This window comes from Homo sapiens, chromosome 1, assembly GCF_000001405.40.
Source record: "Homo sapiens chromosome 1, GRCh38.p14 Primary Assembly".
Lineage (NCBI taxonomy): Eukaryota > Metazoa > Chordata > Mammalia > Primates > Hominidae > Homo > Homo sapiens.
In genome coordinates, this window is record NC_000001.11 from 226,484,137 (window position 1) to 226,498,034 (window position 13,898).

Here is a 13,898-nt window from a genome sequence, read left to right on the forward strand (position 1 = left end):
TTGTTGGGACTACAGGTGTGAGCCACCATGCCTGGCCAGGTAGGAATTTTTATCCCCTTTTCTTCGGATGAGGAGCTACGGCTCCCAGAGGTTGAGTGACTTACTGAAATCACATAGGGATGAAGATTAGGAGGGGGGGTCCTGATGGGTCCAGATGTCCTTGCGTGAAAGCCTCAGCCACGGCCGTAGCCTCCACTGCCCCCAGACCTCCTGCTGTCAGCCCTGCCAGCCTTGCTTAGCCTTCCAGGGCAGCAGAGAGGCAGCCCAGACTCCATCCTCTATGTAGCCTCAGTGAGGGAAGAAATGAGGTCCAAGGGGGAATGAGCAAAGTGAACCATGGGGAAAAGAGTTCCCAAAGGAGAGCACGTCCTAGCCCAGTTCTGCTTGTCACCCCTGCCCCTGTCTCCCCTTATTCTTTGGTAATAGAACTCTGATTTTCAGCCAGGTGCAGGAGCATTCAAGATAATGGCATTTCCCAGCCTTGCTAGCTGTGTTGTGACTGAGTTTTGGTTGATGGGGTGTAAGTTGCAGTAGTTTGGGCAAATTCTAGGAAGTATCCTTAAAGGGAAGTGTCTTTTTCTGCCTCTTTGTTCTTTTAGCTGCCTGGCATGTGGATATGATGGCTGGTGCTCAAGCAGCCGTGGAAGCCATGTGTTGAGGAGGGCAGAGCAATAAGAGAGGAGGGGCCTGGGCCCCTGGTGATGGTGCGGTGGCCATACTGCTCCAGGCTGCCTGTTTGCATGAGAGACAAATACAATCCTACCTTGCTGAAGCCTCTGGGTTTTCTGGCACAGTCAACCAAACGAATCCTAATATTCAAACTGTTTAATTCCTTTCACTAAAGCTGACATCCCTCGTTACAGAGGTCCCATTGTTATCCTCTAAATTTCAAATTTGTTTGTTTCAGATCTTCTCTACTTTGTAGGCTAAATGAATGTGTTCAAGGGGGGTAGAGTTGGGTAGGAAGCAGAAAAACGGTTAGTTTTAATTTGGGAAAGCCAGAGTGTGCTGTGAAGATGCAGGAGGGGCAGCCAGAAGCAAGGGGTGCTCAAACTCCATCAGCCACTGCCTGATCCCTGGTATACCTATGGCTGCCTCTCAGTGGCCAATCTGCTGGCCCTCTAAAACCTGCCCTGCCTCTGGGCAGGAAGCCTGTGAGGAAGCCGGCCAGCTTAGGACTGAGCTCCGTGCTCCTTGCTGCTGTCCCTTAGCTGGTGCCTGAGCTGTGCCTGGCACAGGGTGTGTGTTTGGTGGTTATCTGTTGAATAAATGAGTGAATGTGAGGCAGCCAAGTAGAAAGGTGTCACTGGAGAACCTCCAACTGGCCTGTGCACTGGGAGGAGTGCACACTGTGATGGAGCCTCGGGAAGTTCCGCTATTTGCAGAGGGAGGAGCCTGGCCTCTCCTGTTGTAGGGTGGAACCTGGGATTCAATCTGTGGGGCGGGAAGCCCATACTAGCGGGACTTTCGCTACATGCATACAATGTGTGGTGAGCAAATCAGGGTAACTGGGATAGCCATTGCTTCAAAATTTTAACTTTTCTTTGTTAGGAACATTTGAATGATTTTCTTCTAGCTATTTTGAAGAAGATAATAAATTATTATTAATTATAGCCACCCTCCTGTACTATCAAACACTAGATCTTATTCATTTGATCTAACTGTATCTTTGTGCCCTTTAATCAACTTCTCTTCAACCCCACCTTCCCCCTACCCTTCCCAGCCTCTGGTAACCACCAGTCTACTCTCTATCTCCACGAGATCCACGTTTTTAGCTCCCACATGAGTGAGAACATGTGATACCCGTCTTTCTGTACCTGGTTTATTTTACTTAACATAATGACCTCCGGTTCCATTCATGTTGCTGCCAATGACAGAATTTCACTCTTTTTTATGGCCGAAAAATATGCCATTGTGAATAGGTACCACATTGTCTTTATCCATTCATCTGTTGATGGACACTTAGGTTGATTCCGTGTCCTGGCTATTGTGAATAGTGCTGGCAAAAACATGAGGATGCAGTTATCTTTTTGATATATTAATTTCCTTTCTTTTGAATTTATACCCAGCAGTAGGATTGCTGGATCATATGGTAGTTCTATTTTCAGTTTTTTGAGGAACCTCCATGCTGTTTTCCACAGTGTCTGTACCAATTTAACATTCCTACCGACAGTGTGTAAGACTTCCCCTTTCTCTGCATCCCTGCCAGCATCTGTTGTTTTTTGTCTTTTAGATAAAAGCCATTTTAACTGGGGTGAGATGATATCTCATTGTGGTTTTGATTTACATTTCTCTGATCATTAGTGATGTTGAGCATTCTTTCATGTACTTGTGGTTCATTTGTATGTTTCAAGAAATGTCTATTCAGATCTTTTGCACATTTAAAAATCAGATTATTTGTGGTTTTTTGCTGTTAAGTTGTTTGAGTTCCTTATATTTTCTGGTTATTAATCTCTTGTTGGATGGATAGTTTGCAAATATTTTCTCCCATTCTGTAGTTTGTCTCTTCACTTTGTTGATTGTTTCCCTTGCTGTGCAGAAGCTTTTTAGTTTGATATCATCTCATTTGTCTATTTTTGCTTTCCTTGCCTGTGCTTTTTGAAGTCTTACCCAAAATATCTTTGCCCAGACCAGTGTCCTGAAGTGTTTCCCCAAAGTTTTCTTCTAGTAGTTTTATAGCTTCAGGTCTTAAATTTACGTCTTTAATCGATTTTGATTTGATTTTTGTATATGGTGAGAGATAGGGGTTTAGTTTTATTATTCTGCATATGGATATTCAGTTTTCCCAGCACCATTTATTAAAGAGACTGTTATTTCCTTAATGTATATTCTTGATGCTTTTGTCAAAAATGAGTTGGCTGTAAATGCATGGATTTATTTCTATTTTCTCTATTCTATTCTATTCCATTCATGTCTGTTTTTATGCCGGGATTAGGCTGTTTTTGTTACTATATCTTTGTAGCATATTTTGAGGTCAGGCAATATGATGCCGCCAGCTTTGTTCTTTTTGCTCAGGATTGCTCAGGCTATTAGGGGGTATTTGTGTTTCTGTGCTTATTTTGGAATTGTTTTTTCTATTTCCATGAAGAATAGCATTGGTATTTTGATTGGGATTGCATTGAATCTGTAGATCACTTTGGGTATTGACATTTAACAATATTAATTCTTCCACTTCATGATCATGGAATCTCTTTCTCTTTTTTTGTGTCCTTTTCAATTTCTTTCATCAGTGTTCTGTCATTTTCCTTATAGAGACCTCTCACTTCTTTGGTTAAATTTATTTCTATGAGCCAGGTGTGGTGGCTCACGCCTGTAATCCCAGCACTTTGAGAGGCCAAGGTCAGCGGATCACTTGAGGCCAGGAGTTGGAGACCAGCCTGGCCAACATGGCAAAACCCTGTCTCGACTAAAAATACAAAAATTAGCCAGGTGTGGTGGCTAACACCTGTAATCCCAGCTACTTGGGAGGCTGAGGCACGAGAATTGCTTGAACCTGGGAGGCAGAGGTTGCAGTGGGCTGAGATCGCACCACTGCACTCCACCCTGAGTGACGGAGTGAGACTCTGCCTCAAAAAATATGTATATATATAGAGAGAGTTCTATGTATTTTATATTTGTTGTAGCTTTTGTAAATGGGGTTACATCTTGACTTTTTTCCAGACTGTTTGCTGTTGGCATATATAAATGCTACTGATTTAATATGTTGACTTGTATCCCATACTGAATTTGTTGATGCACTCTGAAGGTTTTTTGGTGGAGTCTTTAGGTTTTTCTAAATAAAAGATCATATCACCTGTGAACAAGAATAATTTTACTTCTTCCTCTCTGATATGAATCCCCTTTATTTCTTTCTCTTGCCTAATTGCTCTGGCTGGGACTTCCAGTCCCCAGCTCTTTATTCCCCCTTTTCCCCACTTGGGGCCACTGACTGCATTTTCTCTTCTCCCTTGCCTTCCTGTGTTGACTCAGCCCTACTCGGCCCTGCCCTGTGCCCCTTTGCCAACTATTGACCTCAGGCTGAAAGAATTTAAGTAGACCTGTCCCAACATTCTGTAACTCAGTATCGAGCCATTATTGGTGGCAATCAGTCCTAATCTGGGGCCCCACTTCTGACATGTGGGCTTCACCTTGTTTCCAAGACTCAAACCCTCCTCCAGCAGAGTCCCATTTTGGAGCACTGGACTCCTGTCTTGTTCTTGGGACCTGAGTCCCACCAGGGTGAGTGGCCTAGGCTGGGAGGCCTCTGCGATTTGTTCCTTCCTTGTTCCTGGCAGGTCCTACTCCCTTGGGAATGGAGTCCTGCTGCCCCCTGGAAGCCCTGCCTGCCCTGGACTCCCTGGCATCTGGCTCTGTCCTTCTCTTGGGGCCTTTCTAACACCAGTATTTTAACTTAAACCCTTCATTTATTAATGTAGCTGAGTCTTTTCTACATACCAGGAACTTCTGTGGGCACTGGTGATATAGTAGAGAATAAGACAAGGTGGTCCCAGCCCCTGGGGAGCTTATAGACCACAGTGTAGAACTATATTAAACATTATGCTGTATGGTGGTCAGTGCCATGAAAATCCTGAGGGCTGTGTGCATGACCACTCTTCAGGTAGCCTTGGCCAGAACCAGTTCCTCTTCCTTTCTTGCTTGTATTTCTCGAGAATAACTGTAGAAAGTGCTGGGAATGCAACATCCTGAGATAAGGAAGAACTGGCCAGAACAGCCCGGGATCTGTTCCTGTCCTTCCTAGAACAGGATGCCCTACAAAACTTTAACCCAGCAAATCAGGTTGCTGGTGGAGTTTAAATCCAGGTGGTCTGCTTTCTGAGGTCCCTTAGCTGTGGTGCAAGTGGGGACTTGTAGACAAGATTCCATCCACCCCGGGCAACTTTCCTGAGCCTCAGGGGACTGGTTCACCACAAATCCTAGGTTCCTACTGTCCCTTGCTGCCTGTGAGTGATAAAGTTGCTTTATTTAACTTGCTGTGTGAGTGGTCTATTTCACTTGACTCGTGCAAGTGGTAGAAATTGCGGCCCAAAACGTGGTGGGCTGAAGTGGTAACCAGAGCATAGCAAGGCTGCTTTGTATGGTGAGAGTGTTTTATAGGGGAACCTGGGCAGGTCTGAGGGGGTCAGGGAAGGCTTCTCGGAGGAAACGATGTGAAAGTTGAGGTCTGAAGGAAGAGCAGAGGCTCTAGGTGGAAGGGGAGAGTGTTCTCAGGAGAGGTAATGGAATGGGCAAGCTTCTGAGGCAGGAAGGTGGGTGGCAGAAAACCTGAGAGTTTGAGCACAATCAATGAGAGGAAGAAGGGTGCATGGTAAGGCTGGAACCTGGGCGGGGTCTTCTGATGGCCCACGGAGCATGCTTCTCCGGGCCTCCCCCTGGTGTGGGCCTGAGCCTTGCCCCTGCACACCCAGGTAGATCCTATCCAGGTCTTGCCACTTCCAGCCGCCCACAGGTACGGGGCCATGCCTAGCTGGGTCCCAAGTTCTCACATCTTATCTCTCCCTCCTCATAGACCCCTTCCTGTTGCCACACAAATCTTGGCCACACTCAACACTGCAGGATCCCAGGCCATAATTTAGAATCTCTTTTAGGAGGGTCAGCTGCTTGCCCTTAGAACCTCAGGACAAGAGAAAAAAACCAAAAAGCAAAAAAGGGCAATCCCCTTCAGCTATGCTTCAATGATAGGGACGGAAATTCTGGGTTTGATCTTCCCTGAGTTTTGTGGTGGCCCGGAGACTCGGCTGTGACTCAGCCCACTGCCTCTGCTACCTGTGAGCTGCCCACACAGAGGGGTGAGTCACCTGAAGCCCCCTCGTGGGCACAAGCCTTGTGGGGAGAAAAGCGCAAAGAGAAAACATGAGAGGGACATCATCACCAGGCCCTGCTGGGAGCTTCACTACATCCTGCAATTCTGGAACCAGATCGGCTCTGTTACTTCCTTTGATTAAACTTCTGTTTTCCCTCAACCCACTGGATCCATCTTTGAGTTATTTAATTCCAACTGTAATAAAAAATCCATTGAACCGCGCACTAATGCAATATGAGGCTGGGAAGCAAACAGCAGGCCTGGGAGGGTGGAGCTGAGCAGAGCAGAGTCTACAGGGCTTTGTCCTTTTTATGAGGTCTGCTACATAAAATCTGATCGCATTTTGACTCAGAATGTGGGCATAGGAGACATATTTGGTGTAAGCTGGGGGCTTTGTGGGTGGGAGGAGAGACCTGTGCTGTCCTTGCTGATAGCAAAGATTTGCCCTTTTCCTCAGACACAGCTACTCTCCTTGTAGCTTTACAGAGTGTGCCGGGTCCTAGGCCTCCACCCACCTGTGTCTTAGGGGCTGCTGGCTGTGTACCAGGCACCCTTACAGTATTCACATCTTTAAACTGGAATCACAGGCTCTGACCCACCTCCCAAAAGCCAGATTGTTCTTACTCTCCTAGCTTCTGCCTTTGAGGCTCACTTCCCTCTCTCCATGCCACAGACAGCTTTGACTTCTGACTTTTTGTCTTCTGATCCCTTCCAGCCACTGTAGAACTCTCCCCTGGACCATTCTTCCAGCCAGTCTGGCTCACCAGAGTACCATAACTTGCTGTAGGCACGAGTGGTGTTGCCTGGCCTGGTTACAGGAATCACTGAAAGAGAGAAGGCTGCCCCAGTGAACCCCTTGCTTTGGGGACCACTCCTTCTGTGCCTGTACAGCCTGACCCCACAGCCTAGCCCAGATGCAACTTTCCTCTGGGGTCTGCTTAAGGAGGACTGCCTCATCCAGGGTCCCAGGAGCTGCTTTCAGACCAGAAGTTTCCATGAGAGGGCTGGACCCAAAGGGAATTTCAAAACAATGAGAAACTGGTGTGCCTGGGAATGGACCAAGCTCTGGGCCATCTCCCTGGAACAGGGTCCTAGAGCCCCTTGCAGGGCCAGGTGTTAACCCTTGAATGTGGGACTGGGGAAGCTCCTGGATTCCACTGGAGGGTCCTGAGTGGTCAGGTTGATGGGGCCTAGGAGGGGAGATGTCAGGGTAGCAGCTACTTGCTAACTTGTGGGAATATACTTCAACATTTTATCCACAGGTCAGCTGTACAGGTGCACACCAGCTGATTGGCAGTCCTGGTTGGTTCTGCTGAGCATTTGTTGGGTAGAAAAACAGGTCTCATTTCTAGAGCTGCTTTCTCATTGGAACTGCATCCTCTTGAGGCTTCCCCAGGGGCTTGTCAGGTTGCTGACCTCAGATTCCTGTCCCTATTTGCTCTTTCTTTCTTTCTTTTTTTTTTTTTTTTGGTTATAAGGAGCAGAGAGTTTAATAGGCAAGAAAGATGGGGAAAGGCAGAAGATAGAAGCTCCCCCATACAGAGACAGAGGGAGGGGGGCTCCAAAGCCAAGAGAGGAAACCCCAAGTGGGGCAGAAACCAGCCAGGTGTGTATATATAGAGGCTGGAGGAGGCAGTGTATATATAGAGGCTGGAGGAGGTGGTGTCTGATTTGCATAGGGCCCAGGGGATTGGTTTGACCAGGCATATCATTCACGTAGCCTGCAAAAAAGCTGGCCCTCCCACCCTAGCCTTTTAATATGCAAATGCAGGGCACCAAGATATTCTACACACGTGGGGCTATGTGGGGGTGGCCATGTTGCCAGGAACATGTGGGGCAAGGGCAAGAAGGCCGAGGGAATCGCCATGTTGGGTAGACTCAGTTTCTAATGGACTTCATTTGTATATCAAAGGTTGCCGGCCTGGCTCTCAGAGCTGCGGCTTTACAAGAAACTTTTCCGCAGATGCTTTTAAAAATGAAAACTTCCCAAGGACTCCTTTCTCTCTATCTGCTTAAAATAATTTCTTAATAACTCCTACCACATTCCTCCCTGTGGCGATATCACACTAACTGCTGTTACAGGGTTTTGGATGATGACTCTTTCTGGCTACTTCCTGCTGAAAAGGGGTGTTGAATGGGGAACAGCAGCTAGGGCTTCTCCTGGGGTGGATCTAAGGGTCCCCAGAAGAATGGCGTGTCCATGTGTGGTTCAGTTTGCAGCACTATTTGGAGTTTGATTGCTTCTGTGAGTTGGGTGATCCTCTCCTCTTGAGGTTCCAAGATAAACTCGCAGCTTCCAGACCTGTTAGAAAGTGACATTCTTCACTGACCACAGGTTAGGAACCCTGTGTGGGGACTGCGTAGATAAGGTATGAGGCCAGTTCTCCCCAAGGGGCTTTTATTGGCTCTGCATGTCAAGCTTTGTTCCTTAAAGGGAAACACACACTTTCAGTCAAAGCCTTGGTAAAATAGCCAGTTTTTCCAATTGTGTCCTGTTGACAAAGAAAAATGATTCTTTTTTTTTAATTTAAATTTAAATTTTTATTTTTTTGAGACGGTGCTTCACTTTTGTCACCCAGGATGGAGTGCAATGGAGCGATTTCGGCTCACTGCAACCTCCGCCTCCCAGGTTCAAGTGATTTTCCTACCCCGGCCTCCTGAGCAGCTGGGACCACAGATGTTTGTCACCATGCCCAGCTAATCTTTTCTGTGTTTTTAGTAGAGACAGGATTTCACCATGCTGGCCAGGCTGGTCTTGAACTCCCGAACTTGGGTGATCTACCCACTTTGGCCTCCTGAAGTGCTGGGATTATTACAGGTGTAAGCCACTGCGCCCAGCCCAAAAAGGCATTTTAAACAAAAATTCTGATATTTAAAAACTGAAAATATGAGCCCAGGAGTTCAAGGCTGCAATGAGCCAATACTACACATTTGTACTCTCTCCTGGGTGACAGAGTGAGACTTGTCAGTACTGAAAATAGCAAAGAGGGCTTTTACAATGTTGATGATGTCATCTTAGAGTGCATGATTTATAAATACACAAATATCCATGTATACTTTTACAGTGATAACTACTGGAAAAATGAGAATGTTAAAAAAGCCAATCTAGACAGAGTCCTTCTCATTCCACCTGCCTCTTTATGTTGGTAATACCAGGAGTCTTAAGAGAGCTGCTGTGGTCTATGTCACATTCATCCCAGCCTCCTTTCTAATCCTGTAGCTGATGATGAAAATGTGATAAATCCTCTGGCTTAGCTTTGATGCTTTTTCATTAATTCACTTCTGGTAGTAAATTGTGGCAGGTCCTCCACTTCATTCCCATCAGCCATTTCCATCACCTTGTCTAAAAGGGCTTTATTGTAACTGCAGCCCAGGAAGAGGTGGTTGGCCCAGACCATGGAGAGGGACAGCAGTTGGTCCAGGCAGCCACCGCCATTGGGCAGGTCATGGTAGTCGGGCAGGTGGCGCAGGATGAATTCCATGAGGGCCTTCCATTGCTTCTCACTCAGTAAGTAGGAGCGAAACTGCTCCGCGAACTCGGCTGCCTGCCTGCCCGAAGTGGTTGCTAAAAGAGCTGGGTTGATCTCACAACGCTTGCAGAGGTTTAGTAGAAATGCCATGCTCTTGTGCAAAATAAAATGAGTTGTTTTCTTTAAAGTTCTGAGGTTAAGGAAGTTACAGCACTCCAGAGGGGTGGGTGCAAGATGAAGATAATTTATTACCCATTTAGAAAAAGAAGCGAGAATAAAACCATCCTCTTACTCCCCTTCCTTTCCATATGACCCAGAGTAGAGGAGAAGACAGGAAGCGTCTTCCAAATGTCTTACCTCCTTGGTTTCTGGATTCCGGAACTTTTTAAAATATGCCCCCCACCCCACCCCTCCCCGCCATGGTTGTAGGCGTGGTCCTCCAAGCCATGGAACCGGATGAACTAAGTGATGGGGCTAACCATGCGTCCCACGCAGCCTTAGTTTATCCGCCTTGTGTGATTTCCCTTTGACTTCCTAGAACCTGCGTGATTTGCCTGACTCCCTCTGGAGACACTGTGTTGCCTTTGGGCAAGGCTCTTTTAACGGAGGCAGTGTGCTAGATTGCCTGCTATTATAGCCCGTGCTAAAGCACTTACTCTTAAAACAGTTCTGGTTAACTTCCGAACTTAAAATTCCCTTACTAATTAAGTACTCTCTTAATCGGAGACAAAATAGATGCCTTAAAAGAACGTAGGAATCAAATGGCCGTTTTCCCACTGATGGGACAATACGGGGACTAAAATCTGGCTGCCAAACACATTTTACTCCTAACTGTTAAAAGCAGAAACTTCCCGTTCTCAGAAGAGGCCTAGATCCTGATTTAAGCACTAGGTGGCTTAAAAATACCATGTGCTTGCCAGAGAAACCGTAGAGAGAGTTATTGAGTTACTGCCTGCTGTGATTCGCGATCTTTTCTAACAGACCTATTTCCCTGAACTGTAAAGATTCCTGCGCATTAGACATACAGAGAGAGAGAGTAAGAGACCGTGGATAAAAAGAGAAAGAAAGTTTGGTGACAGGGTAGCTGGCAGAGAGCCTTGAGATTAAAGGAGAGATTTAACGTTGAAATCTGCTCCATATTCACCAGTCTGATGACTGAATTTCCTTTCCCAGCCAATGCACCAAAATCATACCGCTCCGATGAGTGGAGGAACACCAGGCCTCTTGTCTCACATTGAATTGGAAAAAACGACACGGACACACATGGAGTGGTTTTAAGGAGTGGAGAGTTTAATAGGCAAGAAAGATGGGAGAAGGCAGAAGATAGAAGCTCCCTCATACACAGACAGAGGGAGGGGGGCTCCAAAGCAGAGAGAACCCCCCCGAATTTGCTCTTTCTTTTCATTTCTTTCTTTTCTTTTTTTTTCTTTTTTTGAGACATAGTCTCACTCTATTGCCCAGGCTGGAGTGCAATGGCACGATTCCGGTTCACTGCAACCTCCGCCTCCCAGATTCAAGTGATTCTCCTGGCTTAGCTTCCTAAGTAGCTGGAATTACAGGCATGCACCACCACGCCCGGCTAATTTTTGTATTTTTAGTAGAGACGGGGTTTTGCCATGTTGGCCAGGTTGGTCTCGAACTCCTGACTTCATGATTTGCCTGCCTCAGCCTCCCAAAGTGCTGGGATTACAGGCGTGAGCCACGGCGCCCAGCCCCTATGTGCTCTTTCTAAGTGGAGGGGAAGGGAAGGGAAGGAAGAGAAGTATACGATGGTCAAGAACTCAGGTGCTGGGGTCAGACTATTCTGAGTTTGACAACTGGCTGTGTCACAAGCTGCGTGACCTTGGGAATGCTGCTGAACCCCTCTGAGCCTTGGTTTTCCCATCTGAAATGTGGCGCTGATAATGCTTCTTTCACTGGGGGCCTATAAGGGTTCAGCTGTTCAAAGTCTGTAAAACACCTGGCCTAAAGGATGCCCTTAATTAATGGTAACTAATAATATTGTAATTAGTTTGACTCTGATGGCCCAACCTGACTGTTGTTTTTTTTTTTCCCTCACCTACCTGACCATGCTCATATTCAGCCCCAGCTCCTCCTGGGACTTACCCTATGCCACACATTGTGCTAGACACAGATTGGGAAATGAATACCACCAGCTACACGCTAAGTGCTACCTAGAGCTTAAATAAATGCACAAGGTATTTGTAGATTACCACCCCTTCTCCCCCTCACATACCAACACCTCATCTGTCTTACATGCAGACACTCCTAACTATAATGACCCATTTCCTATATTTCCATAGAGAACCCAAGAGAAAGGAGGGCCTGTGCCACACCAGGCCTGTGTCCACACGAAGGCAAGGTGCTGCTGGCACAGGGAGGGGGCCTTTCGGACAGAGGCAGCAAACAGTGTGGGGTGGGACAGCAGGGTTCCCTGAGCCAGGACCTGGAACAGGCCTCCCAGTGACCAGGGCGGGGCAGGATCCAGTCCAGACAGGGAGGATGGGAGGGCAGTCTCTCTGGGCCCTGGGCGCCAGGTGCTTACTTGTAGTTTCTTTCTCAAGGTGAGTCAGACATTTACTGCACTGAACAGGGCTTGTTTCAAATGGGCCACCTATGTTAGAGTAGATATGCTTTATTTAAGAGTTCTTCAAATATATGTAGCTTAATAGACTATCCAGCTAATCTGAGTTTCCATCAAACTACCTATCTTGTGTTGAATCAGAGATCATGTCTCAAATCTGGTCTCCCAGCTAAAACTGACAGCATACGATCTGCCAAGCCTGGAAGAAGAAGGAATAGAAACCTTATTACTGGCATCATTGTTTGCACTTATAAACCCAATGCTATGAATAGGAATGGTGAAGAGAAGAGTCCTCACGCTTTTGAAATGGAGATAATTGATTGATTTTCTAATATTGATCATTTGCAAAACAATACGCATATATACTGCCCGAGACCGATGCCACAAGTCAACATGATAGTCGGCCACATCGCTTTAGAGACACCCCTCATCCTGCCCAGTACTGTTCCCTGTACCTGCACATTTGCCGTGCCCTTGGTGTGACGCACCTGCAGGAAGGCGAGCAAGACAGTGCAGATGCACAGAGCCCATATGTTTCTCACATTAGCAACACAAAGAGGTGAGGCTGCATTTCCTACTTGTCAAGCACTCAAGCTTAATTGGGCCAGAAATACTCTCTGGTTCCTGCTTCTGCAAGACAGATCTTGGCTGTCACTAAGCATCTGTGGTACCCGGAAGGGACAAATGGAGTTCTGTGGGCTGGAGGCTTTGAGAAAGAGCAGATTTTTTCCTCCATGCCAATTATGTGTGTGGGATTTGGTTTTCTTTGTGTGTCCCAACCTTTGGCCCCAGGGCTGACATTCTGAGCATGCCTGTGTCCCCGGCACTCTGCTCCCACCACGATGCACAGGAGGCCAGCTGAATCCCTGGCACTGCAGGTGTCAGAGCAAGAGTGTTCCAAGCAGGGAGGCGGGGAAGCTTCCAGAGGCAAGGGAGGTGGAACCTGAAGGGGTGAAGAGCATGGATGGAAGGGAAGAAGGGAGGGCAGGCAGGGGAGCTGTGGGAGCAAAGACAGGGTGGTAGCACACTAGTGCATTCACTTGTTCAATAGTATTTATTGAGCACTTACTGTGTGCAGCAGCGATCAAGGCAGACCCTGTTCCTGCTGTCAGGGAGAGAGAGGCAGACAACAAGCAAATGACCAGGTTTGATAATATCTGCAGTGAAATGTGCTCTGAAGAGAAACGGTGCAAGGTAAAGGGTAAGGAAGGGAACAGGGGGTTGGTTTGGATGGGGCAGGTGGGGCAGAGTGAACCAGACCAGCAGGGCATTTGGAGGACCAGGCAAGGGAGTGGTTGGCGAGATGCGGGCTTGGGGACCTTGATGTAGGCTAAAGAGTTTTGGTGGAACCTGATGGGCAGTCATCCTTGATGGTACCCACAGGAGTGGGGAGGGGAACTGCTAGATGTTTGGGCTAAGCCCTCTGCTCTGTGAAGGAATTCATTACCTTCTCCACGCAAATCCTTCAAGCCAGTGCGGAGGTGTCAGTATGTGGGAGCAACCAGTGATCCCACCACCATTTAACAGAGATGGGAACCAAGCCCAGAGCAGGGATGTGACTCACCCAAGGTCACTCACCCAGAGTGGAGGCAGGAACTCAGGTATCCTGACAGAGTTTTCTCTGCCCAGGGAGTGGGAGGGAAGGGTAGTGCTGGCCTGGCTGGCCTTGCTTGAGAAGGTAGAAGGTGAGGAGAATGGGCCGGCCCTGGAGCCTCCCATGGAGGCATGGTGTGGCATTGCCACCTGACCAGAAAGCAGAGGTGCTGCCCTGGTTCCCTCCCCACCTCCCATTGCCTTCCTCTATTGTTGCCTCTCTCTTTTCTCCAAAGCTCTTCCTGTATTTTCCATGCAGGGCAATACAGGTGTGATGCAGGAGCTCAGACACAGGACTGGGCTCCCTAGGCCGCCTCTGATGGAAACTCCAAGATTCTATGACTTCCCTGAGAGCTCGTCTGCCAGGAAATGCCAGCCTCAGCCTAGGGCAAGGAGGAGACTGACCCTGGGGGGGCAAGTCTGCGGGCCCCGCATGCATCGGTGCTGCAAG

The 13,898-nt window shown here is 47.6% G+C and overlaps 1 pseudogene, besides 2 other annotated features; it reads right to left on the bottom strand.

The window, feature by feature from the left end:
- Positions 1,013–1,183: a silencer, noted in NCBI's record as "fragment chr1:226672850-226673020 (GRCh37/hg19 assembly coordinates)". NCBI's record gives its function as "represses an EF-1alpha promoter that drives an FKBP-Casp9 reporter gene in an ReSE screen in HepG2 liver carcinoma cells {active_cell/tissue: HepG2}" and the evidence as "EXISTENCE:reporter gene assay evidence [ECO:0000049][PMID:32094911]".
- Positions 8,302–9,358, bottom strand: CDKN2AIPNLP1 (CDKN2A interacting protein N-terminal like pseudogene 1; annotated as a pseudogene).
- Positions 13,455–13,632: a silencer, noted in NCBI's record as "fragment chr1:226685292-226685469 (GRCh37/hg19 assembly coordinates)". NCBI's record gives its function as "represses an EF-1alpha promoter that drives an FKBP-Casp9 reporter gene in an ReSE screen in K562 erythroleukemia cells {active_cell/tissue: K562}" and the evidence as "EXISTENCE:reporter gene assay evidence [ECO:0000049][PMID:32094911]".